This window comes from Homo sapiens, chromosome 19 (assembly GCF_000001405.40).
Source record: "Homo sapiens chromosome 19, GRCh38.p14 Primary Assembly".
Classification (NCBI taxonomy): Eukaryota; Metazoa; Chordata; class Mammalia; order Primates; family Hominidae; genus Homo; species Homo sapiens.
The window spans coordinates 2,071,036-2,083,748 of NC_000019.10; the positions used below are offsets into that span (position 1 = coordinate 2,071,036).

At 56.4% G+C, this 12,713-nt stretch overlaps 1 protein-coding gene across 3 annotated transcripts in view, besides 5 other annotated features; it reads right to left on the minus strand.

Moving 5' to 3' along the window:
* Window positions 1-12,713, minus strand: part of MOB3A (MOB kinase activator 3A) — a 25,480-nt gene continuing 12,767 nt past the window's right edge. For all 3 annotated transcript variants that reach the window (XM_011527683.4, NM_130807.3, XM_047438169.1), the window contains exons 3-5: window positions 7,105-7,644; window positions 5,776-5,978; window positions 1-2,389 (exon numbers count right to left, since the gene is read on the minus strand). In XM_011527683.4, the coding sequence (XP_011525985.1) occupies window positions 2,360-2,389; window positions 5,776-5,978; window positions 7,105-7,525 (654 nt within the window). In that variant the 5' untranslated portion in view covers window positions 7,526-7,644 and the 3' untranslated portion in view covers window positions 1-2,359. The remainder of the gene's footprint in view (window positions 2,390-5,775; window positions 5,979-7,104; window positions 7,645-12,713) is intronic.
* Window positions 710-759: an enhancer, noted in NCBI's record as "active region_13643". NCBI's record gives its function as "activates an Ori minimal core promoter by ATAC-STARR-seq in GM12878 lymphoblastoid cells {active_cell/tissue: GM12878}" and the evidence as "EXISTENCE:reporter gene assay evidence [ECO:0000049][PMID:35858748]".
* Window positions 790-839: an enhancer, noted in NCBI's record as "active region_13644". NCBI's record gives its function as "activates an Ori minimal core promoter by ATAC-STARR-seq in GM12878 lymphoblastoid cells {active_cell/tissue: GM12878}" and the evidence as "EXISTENCE:reporter gene assay evidence [ECO:0000049][PMID:35858748]".
* Window positions 3,280-3,329: an enhancer, noted in NCBI's record as "active region_13645". NCBI's record gives its function as "activates an Ori minimal core promoter by ATAC-STARR-seq in GM12878 lymphoblastoid cells {active_cell/tissue: GM12878}" and the evidence as "EXISTENCE:reporter gene assay evidence [ECO:0000049][PMID:35858748]".
* Window positions 10,755-10,804: an enhancer, noted in NCBI's record as "active region_13646". NCBI's record gives its function as "activates an Ori minimal core promoter by ATAC-STARR-seq in GM12878 lymphoblastoid cells {active_cell/tissue: GM12878}" and the evidence as "EXISTENCE:reporter gene assay evidence [ECO:0000049][PMID:35858748]".
* Window positions 11,495-11,564: an enhancer, noted in NCBI's record as "active region_13647". NCBI's record gives its function as "activates an Ori minimal core promoter by ATAC-STARR-seq in GM12878 lymphoblastoid cells {active_cell/tissue: GM12878}" and the evidence as "EXISTENCE:reporter gene assay evidence [ECO:0000049][PMID:35858748]".

Consider the following 12,713-nt stretch of genomic DNA (forward strand, 5'->3'; position numbering starts at 1 on the left):
TTCCGACGTCTGCGTCTGTAGTTTTATTCCGTATCTGGCTGGGGGAGGGTGGTCTCCGAGGTGGATGGAGTGAGGGTGGAGGGGACAGAGATGGTCCCTGCTCCCACCTCCCCGAGCCCACCTGGGAAGCTGCGTGGCCGGGCTGCTGGAGACATCCCGAGCCCTGGGGGAGACAGAGGTGTGGGTGTTTGGGCTTCATCTTCCAGGTACAAGGAGATACATTTCATCAAGCAGTTCCTGATTTCATGGAGTTCTTTGAGGGCTCGGCTGGGAGGTCCCTCTCCGGGGGGCTCCAAGTGCCGGACCTGGTGGTTTCTGGAAGGATCAAGGACAAGTCCTGGGAGTTTCAGGCTTCGGCAGTAACAGTGTGTTAATTGCACTTGTTCGATTTTCTGGCAGAAGCCAGGAGAGACGGGGACAGCGTGCTTCTCTTCGGTGACCATCCCAGGCGCCCAGAGGTGACCAGACTTCTGTGTGGTCTGGGACAGTGCAGGGCTCAGGCAGGAAGGACCACTGTGGTGAAAGGCCACTGACAATTCTGGTGAGGAGTAGGGTGGCAGGGGTTCAGCCAGGGAGAGGAGGTGGCTGCCTTTTCTCAGGGCCCTGCTCTCACCTTCCAAAGGTCTAGGGTACACAGAACTCATGGATTTTGGTCTCGCAGCCCCAGGGGCCACACAGAAAAAGGGGTTCAACTGGAAGTTTGCAGCATCTGGGAAAGGCCAATTCTGGCAGAACTGGAAGATTCCAGACCAGGGGAGAGGCGTCCAGGGAGAGAAGAGTCCTGCTTGGGTTGATCATAAGCAAAGTGGACATCGTTCCGAAGAGGCAGAGAGCTCACTATGTTATCGATAAAAAAATTCTTGGCCGGGCACAGTGGCTCACGCCTGTAATCCCAGCACTTTGGGAGGCTGAGGCTGGTGGATCACAAGGTCAGGAGATCAAGACCATCCTGGCTAACACGGTGAAACCCTGTCTCTACTAAAATACAAAAAAATTAGCCGGGTGTGACGGTGGGTGCCTGTAGTCCCAGCTGCTGGGGAGGCTGAGGCAGGAGAATGGCGTGAATCTGGGAGGCGGAGCTTGCAGTGAGCCGAGATCCCACCACTGCACTCCAGCCTGGTTAGGCCGGGTGCAGTAGCTCATGCCTGTAATCCCAGCACTTTTGGAGGCCAAGGTAGGCGGATCACCTGAAGTCAGGAGTTTGAGACCAGCCTGGCCAACATGGTGAAATCTTGTCTCTACTAAAACTACAATAATTTCCTGGGCGTGGTGGCGCACACCTGTAATCCCAGCTACTTGGGAGGCTGAAGCAGGAGAATCACTTGAACCCAGGAGGTGGAGGATGCAGTGAGCCGAGATTGTGCCACTGGACTCCAGTCTGGGCGACAGTGGGAGACTCCGTTCAAAAAAAATAAAAATCTCAAGATGGTTGTAAATGTGACTATAAAAATCAAACCCTTTATGATACACAAAGGGGCCCTTAGGAAATGAGTCAGAAGCCGGGGTGCAGGACGTGGGGTCCCAGGAGTCCAGGAAGCCCTGGATACAGTCAGCTGAATGTTTCGGAAGAACGGAAGAAGCAGAGTGCATTGAGGAAGAGAGAGGGCTGGGTGCGGTGGCTCACCCCTGTGATTCCAGCACTTTGGGAGGCCGAGGATGGAGGATCACTGGAGGCCAGGAGTTCAGCGAGACCCCTGTCTCTAGTATGACCAAAAAAAAAAAAATCTGTAGAAAAATGGAAGAGATTGGGGAGGGAGGAAAGAGGCTGCCTGGGTCCAGGTTGTGCCTCTGTGTGAAGAGACACCAGCGGCTGCCAGTGGGGAGTGCGGAGTAAAGGCCTGCGGGAGGAGATGTCCGCTCTCAGGGGCTCGGAAGCCCCTCAGCCTCTTGCCTCCCCAACGGGAGACATGTAGGAGGCCGAGCAAGCTGGGTGCCCTTGAGAGACAGGCCCAGGCAGGGCTGTGGCCACAGCAGCCCTGGGGGCTCCCCAGCGAGGTGGAGGCAGAAGTTCCAGGAGCCTGGGAGCCACCCAGGGCAAGGAGTGACCCTGGAAGCCATCCAGCCTCCTGGAAAGTGGAAGTGGTTTAAAAACACAGTGGGCTTTTCCGGTTGCTAGTAACACATAGAATTACAGAGTTCACGTTTTAGTCCCAGACGGGAGACTGAGGCTCGAGACTGAGGAAGGCATCTGCCGTCCGGGGTTGGAGCTCCTGAGGACCAACACCTGCTCAGCGGCTCGGCCCCTGGTCTCCCTGAGATGCTCAGGCCGGAGAGAAGCGGGATGATGGTTCCAGAGCGTCCTCCTCCAAGTCTCCGAGGCCCCAGCGGCGGTTCGGGCACCGGGAGACCCGCGGGGCTCTCAGTGGCACATCCGGGCGGTCATTTCTTTCTGTAAAGAGCAAGCAAGACATCAGCTCCCACCAGCCACTCCTAAAAGGGGTGATGCGAACAGCAGACACACGGAGACGCACAGGCAGAGAAACGGCAGCTGGGGGCTTCCCTGAACACCCAAACAACAAAAACCACACAGGCAATGGCACACCTGAGACCAGGGGCAGCAGGCTACCCCATGAGGCCAGAGAGTCAGCATTTTCAGATCTGTGGGCCAGACGGTCCCTGTCATGATGGCTCAACTCTGTCTTGTACCTCAAAAGCCACCTCAGACGATGGTAACCTCACAAGTGTACCTCGCTGCCAATAAAACTGTATTTACAGCCAGGCTTGGTGGCTCACGCCTGTAATCCCAGCACTTTGGGAGGCAGAGGTAGGCAGATCACCTGAGGTCAGGAGTTCAAGACCAGCCTGGATAACACGGTGAAATCCTGTCTCTACTAAAAATATAGAAATTAGCCTGGCATGGTGGCAGGCACCTGTAATCCCAGCTACTCAGGAGGCTGAGGGAGGAGAATCGCTTGAACCTGGGAGACAGAGGTTACCGTGAGCCAAGATCGCGCCACTGCACTCCAGCCTGGGTGACAGAGCGAGACTCTGTCTCAAAAAAGAAAAAAACAACTTTGGGAGGCTGAGGTGGGCGGATCATGAGGTCAGGAGATCGAGACCATCCTGGCTAACATGGTGAAACCCCGTCTCTACTAAAAATACAAAAAAATAAGCCAGGTATGGTGGCACATGCCTGTAGTCCCAGCTACTCAGGAGGCTGAGGGAGGGGAATCACTTGAACCTGTGAGGTGGAGGTTGCAGTGGCTGAGATCAAACAAACAAACAAACAAAAAAACCCCAGAAACTTTATTTACAAAAACAGGAAGCCAGGCCAGAGGGCTGCAGTTTGCTGATCCCTGTCTTATACAGACTGGGACACTAGAAGGAAAGTTCTGGAATACAGAAAAAAAGAAAAAGAAAAAAGAAAAGAAAAAGAAAGAAAAAAGAGGAAGACCCCACTACCATCTTTAGAGCCACTGAGTATGCAACTATTAATTTTAAATTTAGCAAAATGTTTACCAGTAGCAAAGCCTGAAAGGGGATGCACAAAAATGAGGAAGTTATGTGAAGATGTTTTTAGTCTTTTTTTTTTTTTGAGACGGAGTTTCACTCTGTCATTCAGGCTGGAGAGCTGTGGCGCAATCTTGGCTCACTGCAACCTCCACCTCCTGGGTTCAAACGATTCTCCTGCCTCAGCCTCCTGAGTAGCTGGGATCACAAGTGCCCACCACCATGCCTGGCTAATTTTTTTTTTTCCCCTGAGACAGAGTCTTGCTCTGTCACCCAGGCTGGAGTGCAATGGCGCGATCTCAGCTCACTGCAACCTCTGCCTCCTGGGTTCAAGTGATTCTTCTGCCTCAGCCTCCCGAGTAGCTGGAATTACAGGCGCGTGCCACCATGCCCAGCTAATTTTTTGTATTTTTAGTAGCGATGGGGTTTCACCATGTTGGCCAGGCTGGTCTTGAACTCCTGACCTCATGAGCTGCCCGTCTTGGCATTCCAAAGTGCTGGGATTACAGGCGTGAGCCACCACGCCGGGCCTTAATCTTTTCTTTTCTTTTTTTTTTTTTTTGAGACAGGTTACTGGCTGTCACCCAGGCTGGACTACAGTGGCGTGATCTCGGCTTACTGCAGCCTCAACCTCCCAGGCACAAGCAATTCTCCTGTCTCAGCCCCCTGAGTAGCTAGGACCACAGGCACGCACCACTGTGCCTGGCTCATTTTTTTCATTTTTTGTAGAGATGAGGTCTCACTATGTTGTCCAGGCTGTTCTCAAACTTCTGAGCTCGAGTGATTCTCCCTCTTTGGCCTCCCAAAGGGCTGGGATTACTGGTGGGAGCCACCTCGTCCGTCCATTTTTAACCATTTTTTAAAGTTGTAAGAGAGTGGTGGCTCCCACCTGTCATCTGAATACTTTGGGAGGCCAAGGTGGGAGGATTGCTTGCATCCATGAGTTCAGACCAGCCTGGGCATCATAGTGAGACCCCATCTCTACACACAATAAAAAATCAGCCGGGCGTGCTGGCTGTGGTCCCAGCTACTCGGAGGCTGGTGGGGTCCCGCTCTCACATCAGGATCCCCACATCCATACAGCGCCCAGCAGCCTGGGGAACAATGCAGCCTCTGGGCAGGTTCCAGTGCCAGGCCCTGAATCACGGGCACCCACTCCACTGCTGGTCCCCATCACCGAGACACAATTGTGGGCCCCAATTTCAAGAAGCAACATTGGCTTCAGGGATGTGGACCCCACACCGAGGAATCTGGTCCCTGGGTTCGTCTCCCGATAAAACCTGGTAACGTGGAAAGCAGACAGGCTAGGGCAGATGCAGAGGTACCCGGCTGGCTACAGAAGTCGGGTGGAATCTAGGCAGGTGCGGTGGCTCCTGTCTGTCATTCCAGCACTTTGGGAGGCCGAGACAGGGAGATCACCTGAGTTCAGGAGTTTGAGACCAGCCTGGCCAACATGGCAAAACCTGGTCTCTACTAAAAATACAAAAATTAGCGGGGTGTGGTGGCACGTGCCTGTAATCCCAGCTACTCAGGAGACTGAGGCAGGAGAACTGCTTGAACCCGGAAGGTGGGGGTTGCAGTAAGCCAAGATGGCGCCACTGCACTCCAGCCTGGGTGAGGGAGGCAGACTCCATCTCCAAAAAAAAAAAAAAAAAAAAAAAGGCCAGGCACAGTGGCTCCCGCCTGTAATCCCAGCACTTTGAGAGGCTGAGATGGGCAAACCACATGGTCAGGAGATCCATCGAGACAATCCTGGCTAACACGGTGAAACCCCCTCTCTCCTAAAAACACAAAAAATTAGCTGGACGTGGTGGCGCGTGCCTGTAATCCCAGCTACTTGGGAGGCTGAGGCAGGAGAATCACTTGAACTCGGGAGGCGGAGGTTGCAGTGAGCCGAGATCGCACCACTGCACTCCAGCCTGGGTGACAGAGTGAGACTCCGTCTCAAAACAAACAAAAACAAACAAACAAAAAAAGTCGGGGTGGAGTCTGCTTGTGCCGGCTCGCATCCCTTTCATAAGGGACACTGAGCGGCGCTCTGGGACACCTGAGCTCAGGACGGTGAAGGCGGAGTGAGCTGGACGCGGGGCGGCGCGGAGGAAACTGCACCTGTCGCCGGCATTTGTTCCGTGGGAGAACGCAGGATCCCTCCCAGCTACCTCACCACTTGTCCCATCAGCAGGGTCCCCGGGGCCCAACTCCAGCCGGGGCCGCCAGCTGCTGGGCCGACCGCAAGCAGTCAGGGTCCTGGCCCCGGAAGGGTTCCTCTGCCACGGGCCACCAGCCCCACCGTAACCGCACGCCCTCAGCCCCAAGCCCGCGCACCAGTGGCTCCAGCTCCTTGGTGTCGATGAGGCCGAACTCCTTGACGAAATAGTAGAAGTGCTTGTAGCAGGTGTTCACGTGGGCCTCGGAGCCCATCTGCGCGATGCGGTCAAAGTGGTGGATGTAGACGTGCACGAACACGCGGAACAGCCGCGACAGGATCTTCCGCACCGTCTGCAGGAAGTTCTTGGGAAACGGAGTGCCTGCAGGGAGAGGGGTGGGACGGGTCCACGGACTCAGCCAAGTCCATGTCCAGAACCCTTTGCTCCTGGATGTGACAAGGGGCTTCCAGACAGAAATTGCTGGCAGATCGGGCGCGGTGGCTGACGCCTGTAATCCCAGCACTTTGGGAGGCCGAGGCAGGCAGATCACTTGAGGTCTGGAGTTCGAGACCAGCCTGGCCAACATGGAGAAACCCCATCTTTACTAAAAAATACAAATATTAGCCGGGTGTGGTGGCTCATGCCTGTAATCCCAGCTACTCAGGAGGCTGAGGCAGAAGAATCGCTTGAACCTGGGAGGTAGAGGTTGAAGTGAGCCGAGATCGTGCCACTGCACTCCAGCCTGGGTGACAGAGTGAGACACTGTCTCAAAAAAAAAAAGAAAAAGAAAAGAAAAGAAAGGTACGCTGTACTCTGGAGGGACGTGCCCTAATGATCATCCTCAAACCCACGTTTATGGGGTGTCCCTGAGAGCCATGCAGTGCATTACACATCGAGCTGGGCAGGGGGTCCCGCCAACGGGGTGATGATCCTGGTGGGCCCAGGGGCTCCATGGCAGTGATTCTGAAACCACTGAGAACACTGGGCCCAGCACTGGCAGGGGTGCTTGTCTCCTCTGCGAAGGACTCCAGGCCTGATGCTGATCCTGTCATTCTCTGCTTTGGGGTGAGGAGACAGGAGTCACCAGGAGTGATTCAGGATGAAGGGGGGCTACTAAGAGCAGCCCAACTTAGGAGAATACTCAGAAATGGAATCCTTTTTTTTTTTTTGAGACAGGGTCTTGCTCTGTCACCCAGGCTGGAGTACAGTGGCACGATCATAGTTTACTGCAGCCTCAACCTCCTAGCCTCAAGCGATCCTCCCACCTTAGCCTCCCGAGTAGCTGCGACCAAAGGCGTGTGCCACCATGCCTGGCTAATTTTTAAAATTTTTTGTAGAGATGGGATCTTGCTATGTTGCCCAGGCTGAGCTCAAACTCCTGGGCTCAAGCGATCCCTGGGCTCGGCCTCCCAAAGCGCTGGCATTACGGGTGTGAGCCACTGTGCTCGGCCTCCCTGACTTTTCTGGAAGGCTCTGTATCCCCGAGCCCCTGCCAGCTCTGACTCACCAACGTTGGTGGGGAAGAGGTCCTCGTTGTTGATCTGCGCCTCGATCCAGTCCATCAGCAGGTCCATGTACCTGGGCGCGGAGAGTGCCGTGGGCTTCCGGAACTTATGCTCATCCTGCCAGCGGTACTCATACTTGGGGCCCCCCGACATGACGGGGCAGGACTGCTCCGTGCAGCCGTCGCTGATGGTGCCGTAGATGAGGTTGACGCGGTTAAAGAAGTCCACCACGTGAACAGCCACCCAGTCGTTCAGGTCCTCGCCCGGGGGCAACTGCACGGCCAGCCGCAGGTCCAGCCCGGCGTTCAGCGACGCCTGCGCCTTCTTGTGCAGCTCGAAGCGCTGGGTGCCTGGCTCAAACTTGCGCTTGGGGCGGAATGTCTTGTCCTTGTTGAAGACTTGCTTCAGGAAGGGGTTGGACATCTTGGTGACGCCTGCTCTCCTGGACTTCTGTAGAGGGGTCCTGGGCCAGCTGGCTGGGGGTGCTGACCAACCCGAGAGGCCACGAAACACTCACCAAGCCCCACAGCTCTCCCGCGGACCTGAAATACACAGGGGAATCATGACCTGCTGGAGGCGACAGAATTTCCCGGAAACTCGTGCTGAGGGCACAAGCGGCAGGATTTTGTTTTGTTTTTTGAGACAGGGTCTTACTCTGTTGCCCCGGCTGGAGTACAGTGGTGCCATCACAGCTCACTGCAACCTCTGCCTCCCAGGCCCAAGCGATCCTCTCAACTTAGCCTCCTGAATAGCTGGGACTATAGGCACACACCACCACACCTGGGTAAGTTTCTTTATTTTTAGTAGAAACGAGGTCTCACTATGTTGCCCAGGATGGTCTCCAACTCCTGGGCTCACATGATCCTCTCACCTCTGCCTCCCAAAGTGCTGGGCTTACAGGTGTGAGCCACTAGTGGCAGGGTTCAAAACATCCCCTGGACTTTTGACTTTAAGGAGTTTCACCCAAAGGGGGCCACCTCCTCAGTGGACAGAAGAGAACTGCGCGTGGCGAGGCCTGACCGATTCACAGCAGAAGGTGCGCAGAGCCGGGCCCCAAGAGCCCGCAGGGGCCGCATCTTCCCCGGTGCCGATGCCTGGCCCGGACCTAGACTTGCTGCTACCCAGCACTGTGGGGCTTGAGTGTGGGGCAGGCTGAGATGCCAGTCACAGGGGACTGCATGGCCGGACTACGGCCTCCACAAAGGAAGCCACACCGCAATGCCCGCAGCCTGTGCATGGCAGCCTAGGTGGAAGAAGGTCTCAAGGGACGTCATCTTGGATTCCTTGGGTGGCCCCACAGTCAGTGACAAACATCCTCAGGAGTGAGGCAGATACGGGGGAGACGGCTGTGCGAGGATGCAGGCAGAGATGGGGGTGCTGCTTCCACAAGCGAAGGGTCGCCCAGGATGCTGGCCACCGCCAGGAGCAGAGAGAAGCCTGGCAGATGCCCCTCGGCCTCAGAGGGACCCAGCCCCGCCCACACCTTCGTCTCAGACGTGCAGCCCCAGAACTGAGAATGAGTCCCTATCGTGTCAGCATTCTCCCCATGTTGCTGTGCCCAAGTCACTGGTCACTGGGTCAGGGACCCCACGATTGGGTGACCCCTCTTCCCTTGATTTCATCCACAAAGACCCCCTTCCAGGTCGGGTCACATGGCGAGATGCCGGGTGATTCCAGGGGCAGCTGTCCACCCCAAGGCACCGTATAAATGAGGAAGCCTCCAGGAGCCGGCCCAAGTCTCATGCACGCCTGAGCGGTGACTTGTGAGACACCCACGGGTTGCTCTGGGGTGGGGACCCGGCGTCCTCCTACTCCCCTGAGAATTCTCAGGGGACAGAGACAGAGTCCATCCCGCACAGGGCGGAGGGGCGACCTGGATCACACACCGCGCGTGTGCCGGGCTCACGCTCACCACGCAGGGCCTGTCACCGCCAACACCGTTATTGTCACTGCCAGGACGCCGGCACCGTGGCAGGCCCAGAGTGGATGCAGACCCCACCCTGCTCTGCTGGGTGCACCTTCTGGACGGGCAGAGACTTGACTGTGACACTTGGGGCAAGGCCCACGCAGGGTGCTGGGCAGGGCGGGGGTCCTCACCACAGCATGAAGAGGACCCAGCAGAAGGGGGAGTCAGAGAGGGGAGAGGGAGTGAGGCCCACACATGCCCAGGCCTCCTGGGCTCCACGCAACGCTCACAAGTAATAAACACACATTCATCACGTTCTAGTACATTCCAACCCCCACCTCTTTTTTTTTTTGAGGCAGAGTCTCGCTCTGTCACCCAGGCTGGAGTGCAGTAGCGCGATCTCAGCTCACTGCAGCCTCCACCTCCCGGGTTCACGCGATTCTCCTGCCTCAGCCTCCCGAGTAGCTGGCACTACAGGCACGTGCAACCACACCCAGCTAATTTTTGTATTTTTAGTAGAGACGGGTTTTACCATGCTGGCCAGGCTGGTCTCGAATTCCTGACCTCATCTGATCCGCCCACCTTGGCCTCCAAAGTGCTGGGATTGCAAGCGAGCACCACCGCGCCCGGCTGTGTTGCTGTTGCTTGTGACGAAGTCCTGTCTTGTGTCTCATCCCTCACGATACATGACTGGGCGAGTGTTTGGGGCTGCCATCACAAATCACCACAAATTTCAGGCTGAAAACAACACCAATCTAGCACGGGGAAGCTCTCAGCTGTTGGGAATGGATCCTGCAGGGCTAAATTTAAGGTGTGGACAGGCCGGGTGCAGTGGTTCACACCTGTAAGTACTTTGAGAGGGTGAGGTAGGTAGATGGCTTGCGTCCAGGAGTTTGAGGTCAGCCTGAGCAACATGGCAAGACCTCGTCTCTACAAAAAAATTTAAAAATTAGCTGGGTGTAGTGGCGCATGCCTGTAATCCCAGAACTGAGGTGGGAGGACTGTTTGAGCCCGGGAGTTCGAGGCTGCAGTGAGCCTCGAACCCCAGCCTGGGCAACAGAGTAAGACCCTGTCTCAAAAAATAAAAAATAAGGTGTGAGCAGAGCTGGATCCTTCTGGAGGCCCCAGGGCTTAGGGTTAGGGTACCCCCCAACAGTCAACAGAACGGCCCCCACCAGAGAATGATCTGGACCCAAATGTTCACAGGGCCTGGGGGTCGGGGGGAAGAGATGCTGCATTGTTTGGAAAAAAAGCAAGTTAGAGGCCGGGCGTGGTGGCTCACGCCTGTAATCCCGGCACTTTGGGAGGCCGAGGCGGGTGGATCACCTGAGGTCGGGAATTCGAGATCAGCCTGGCCAACATGGTGAAACCCCATCTCTACTAAAAATACAAAAATTAGCCAGACATGGTGGCGGGCGCCTGTAATCCCAGCTACTCGGGAGGCTGAGGCAGGAGAATCGCTTGAACCCGGGGGACAAAGGTTGCAGTGAGCCGAGATCACACCATTGCACTCCAGCCTGGGCGACAGAGCGAGATTCTGCTTCAAAACAAAACAAAACAGGCCTGGCGCGGTGGCCCACGCCTGTAATCCCAGCACTTTGAGAGGCTGAGGCGGGCGGATCACGAGGTCAGGAGTTCAAGACCAGCCTGACCAACATGATGAAACCCTGTCTCTACTAAAAATACAAAAATTAGCCAGGCGTGATGGTGCATGCCTGAAATTCCGGCTACTTGGGAGGCTGAGGCAGGAGAATCGCTTGAACCTGGGAGGCAGAGGTTGCAGTGAGCCAAGGTCGGGCCTCTGTACTCCAGCCTGGGTGAGAGAGCAAGACTCTGTCTCAAAAACACAACACAACACAACACGGTGCCCACTGTGAACGCAGTGACGACAGAGTCTGCACCATAAGAAGGTCCAGGGTCAATGGTTTGTCACAAGGGAGCCCCTGGTGAGGACCGGCTGGGGGACACTGCTCAGGGCAGCCTGGGCACAGGTGGCAGGAGGACTTGAGTCCCACCCACGCTGCAGTGACCAGAAAGGCCTGAACTTCCCCAGCCCATCCTGGGGCCCTTAGCCACCATCGTCACTTCCTGCCACCAGGGTTAACACCCAACTAGGAACTTGAACTTTTCATCTGCCTGGGACAAAAACCCTGTCTCCACTTTACAGATGAGAAAACCAGGGCCCAGAAAACCAGGCCTCTAACCCCTGGCTCTGTGGACATCGGGGTTGGATCGTTCTCTGGGGTGGGGCCGTCAGGGGCACTGCAAGGTGCTGAGCGGCATCCCTGGCCGCCGCCCCTCCCTGCCAGGAGCTCCCCCAAGTTATGACAACCACAGATGTGCCCAGACATCACCCAGTGTCCCTTTGGGTTAAGATTAGATCGCCCTGGGTGAGATCGTGGCTCAGATGATTATGACTGATTCTACAGCAGTGTCTCACGCCACAGAGCTAGTGGGTGGATCGGCTGGGGCTCGAACCCTGGACTCTGTGGGTGGATCGGCCGGGTCTCGAACCCTGGACTCTGTGGGTGAAGCCACCGCTCTTTCTGCCCCACAACTCCCTAAATTCAGCAACTCTCAGGGATGCAGGCAGCCGTCTGATCACAAGCCTAGTGACACACGCTTCCCGGGCCAGCGCTGCTCCACCACGGGGCCCCTCCACTGCCTAGCAGAGCCACGTGGATGCTCCAAGTCCAGGGACTGCTGACCCATCTTGGTTTTGCTCGGCGGGGCACAACCCCAGGGTCACCACACAGGTCCCCCCGCTTGCTTCTCTTCCATTTTTAGAGACAGGTTCTCGCTCTGCTGCTCAGGCTAGAGTGCAGTGGCAGGATCATGGCTCACACTTCAGCCTCGACCTCCTAGCTCAAGGGATCCTCCTGCCTCAGCCTCCTGAGTAGCTGGGACCACGGGCACTCACTGCCATAATTTTTTATAATTTTTTCACCACCAGTTAATTTTTTGTTGTTGTTGTTGTATTTTTTGTAGAGACGGGAGCTCACTATGTTGCCTAGGCTGGTCTTGAACTCCTGGACTCAAGCGATCCATCCGCCTTAGCCTCTCAAGGGGCTGAGATCACTGGCGTGAGCCACTGTGCCTGGCCACCCCTGCCTGCTTCCCAAGGAAGGAGTAATCCCGCAGCCCAGCCTCAGACCCTCCCTGGGAAGCCCCTGATTCAAAGAGGCCACCTCTGTGCTTATGGTATCCCCCGGGGCCGGGGAGCCCGGGACGCATCCACGCTGTGGCTGAGCAGGTGGGAGCTGTTGGGGGGGACCTGAGGCCCTTCGCCAGTGACAGCTCAGCACCCCAGAGCCCTGCACCTGCCCCAGTGATGAGCTCTGCAAGCCACACCTGCCCTCAGGCCACACCACCTGCAGCACAAGATCAATAAATCCCCTCAGGAGAAGGGAAAATGCCGGCCACCTCCAGGCCATGGTCCGCCTGGCACTGAGCGAGATGCTCCTCCACGCTGGGAATCAATCACCTCAGTCCCCACATGCCTGTCTAGATGGGGCGAGTGCAGGCCCCACTTTACCAAAGAGGAAACCGTGCAGGCGAGCAGATCCCCATCCACCCAGCCAGGCCCACTCACCTCCCTCCTCCCCGTTTCCGCTTCACATCTGGGCCGACTCACAGCCAACTTTCCAACTCCAACAGAAATCACAGCACAGAGCAAAACCCAACCTGCCACAGCCTGGTGCTGCC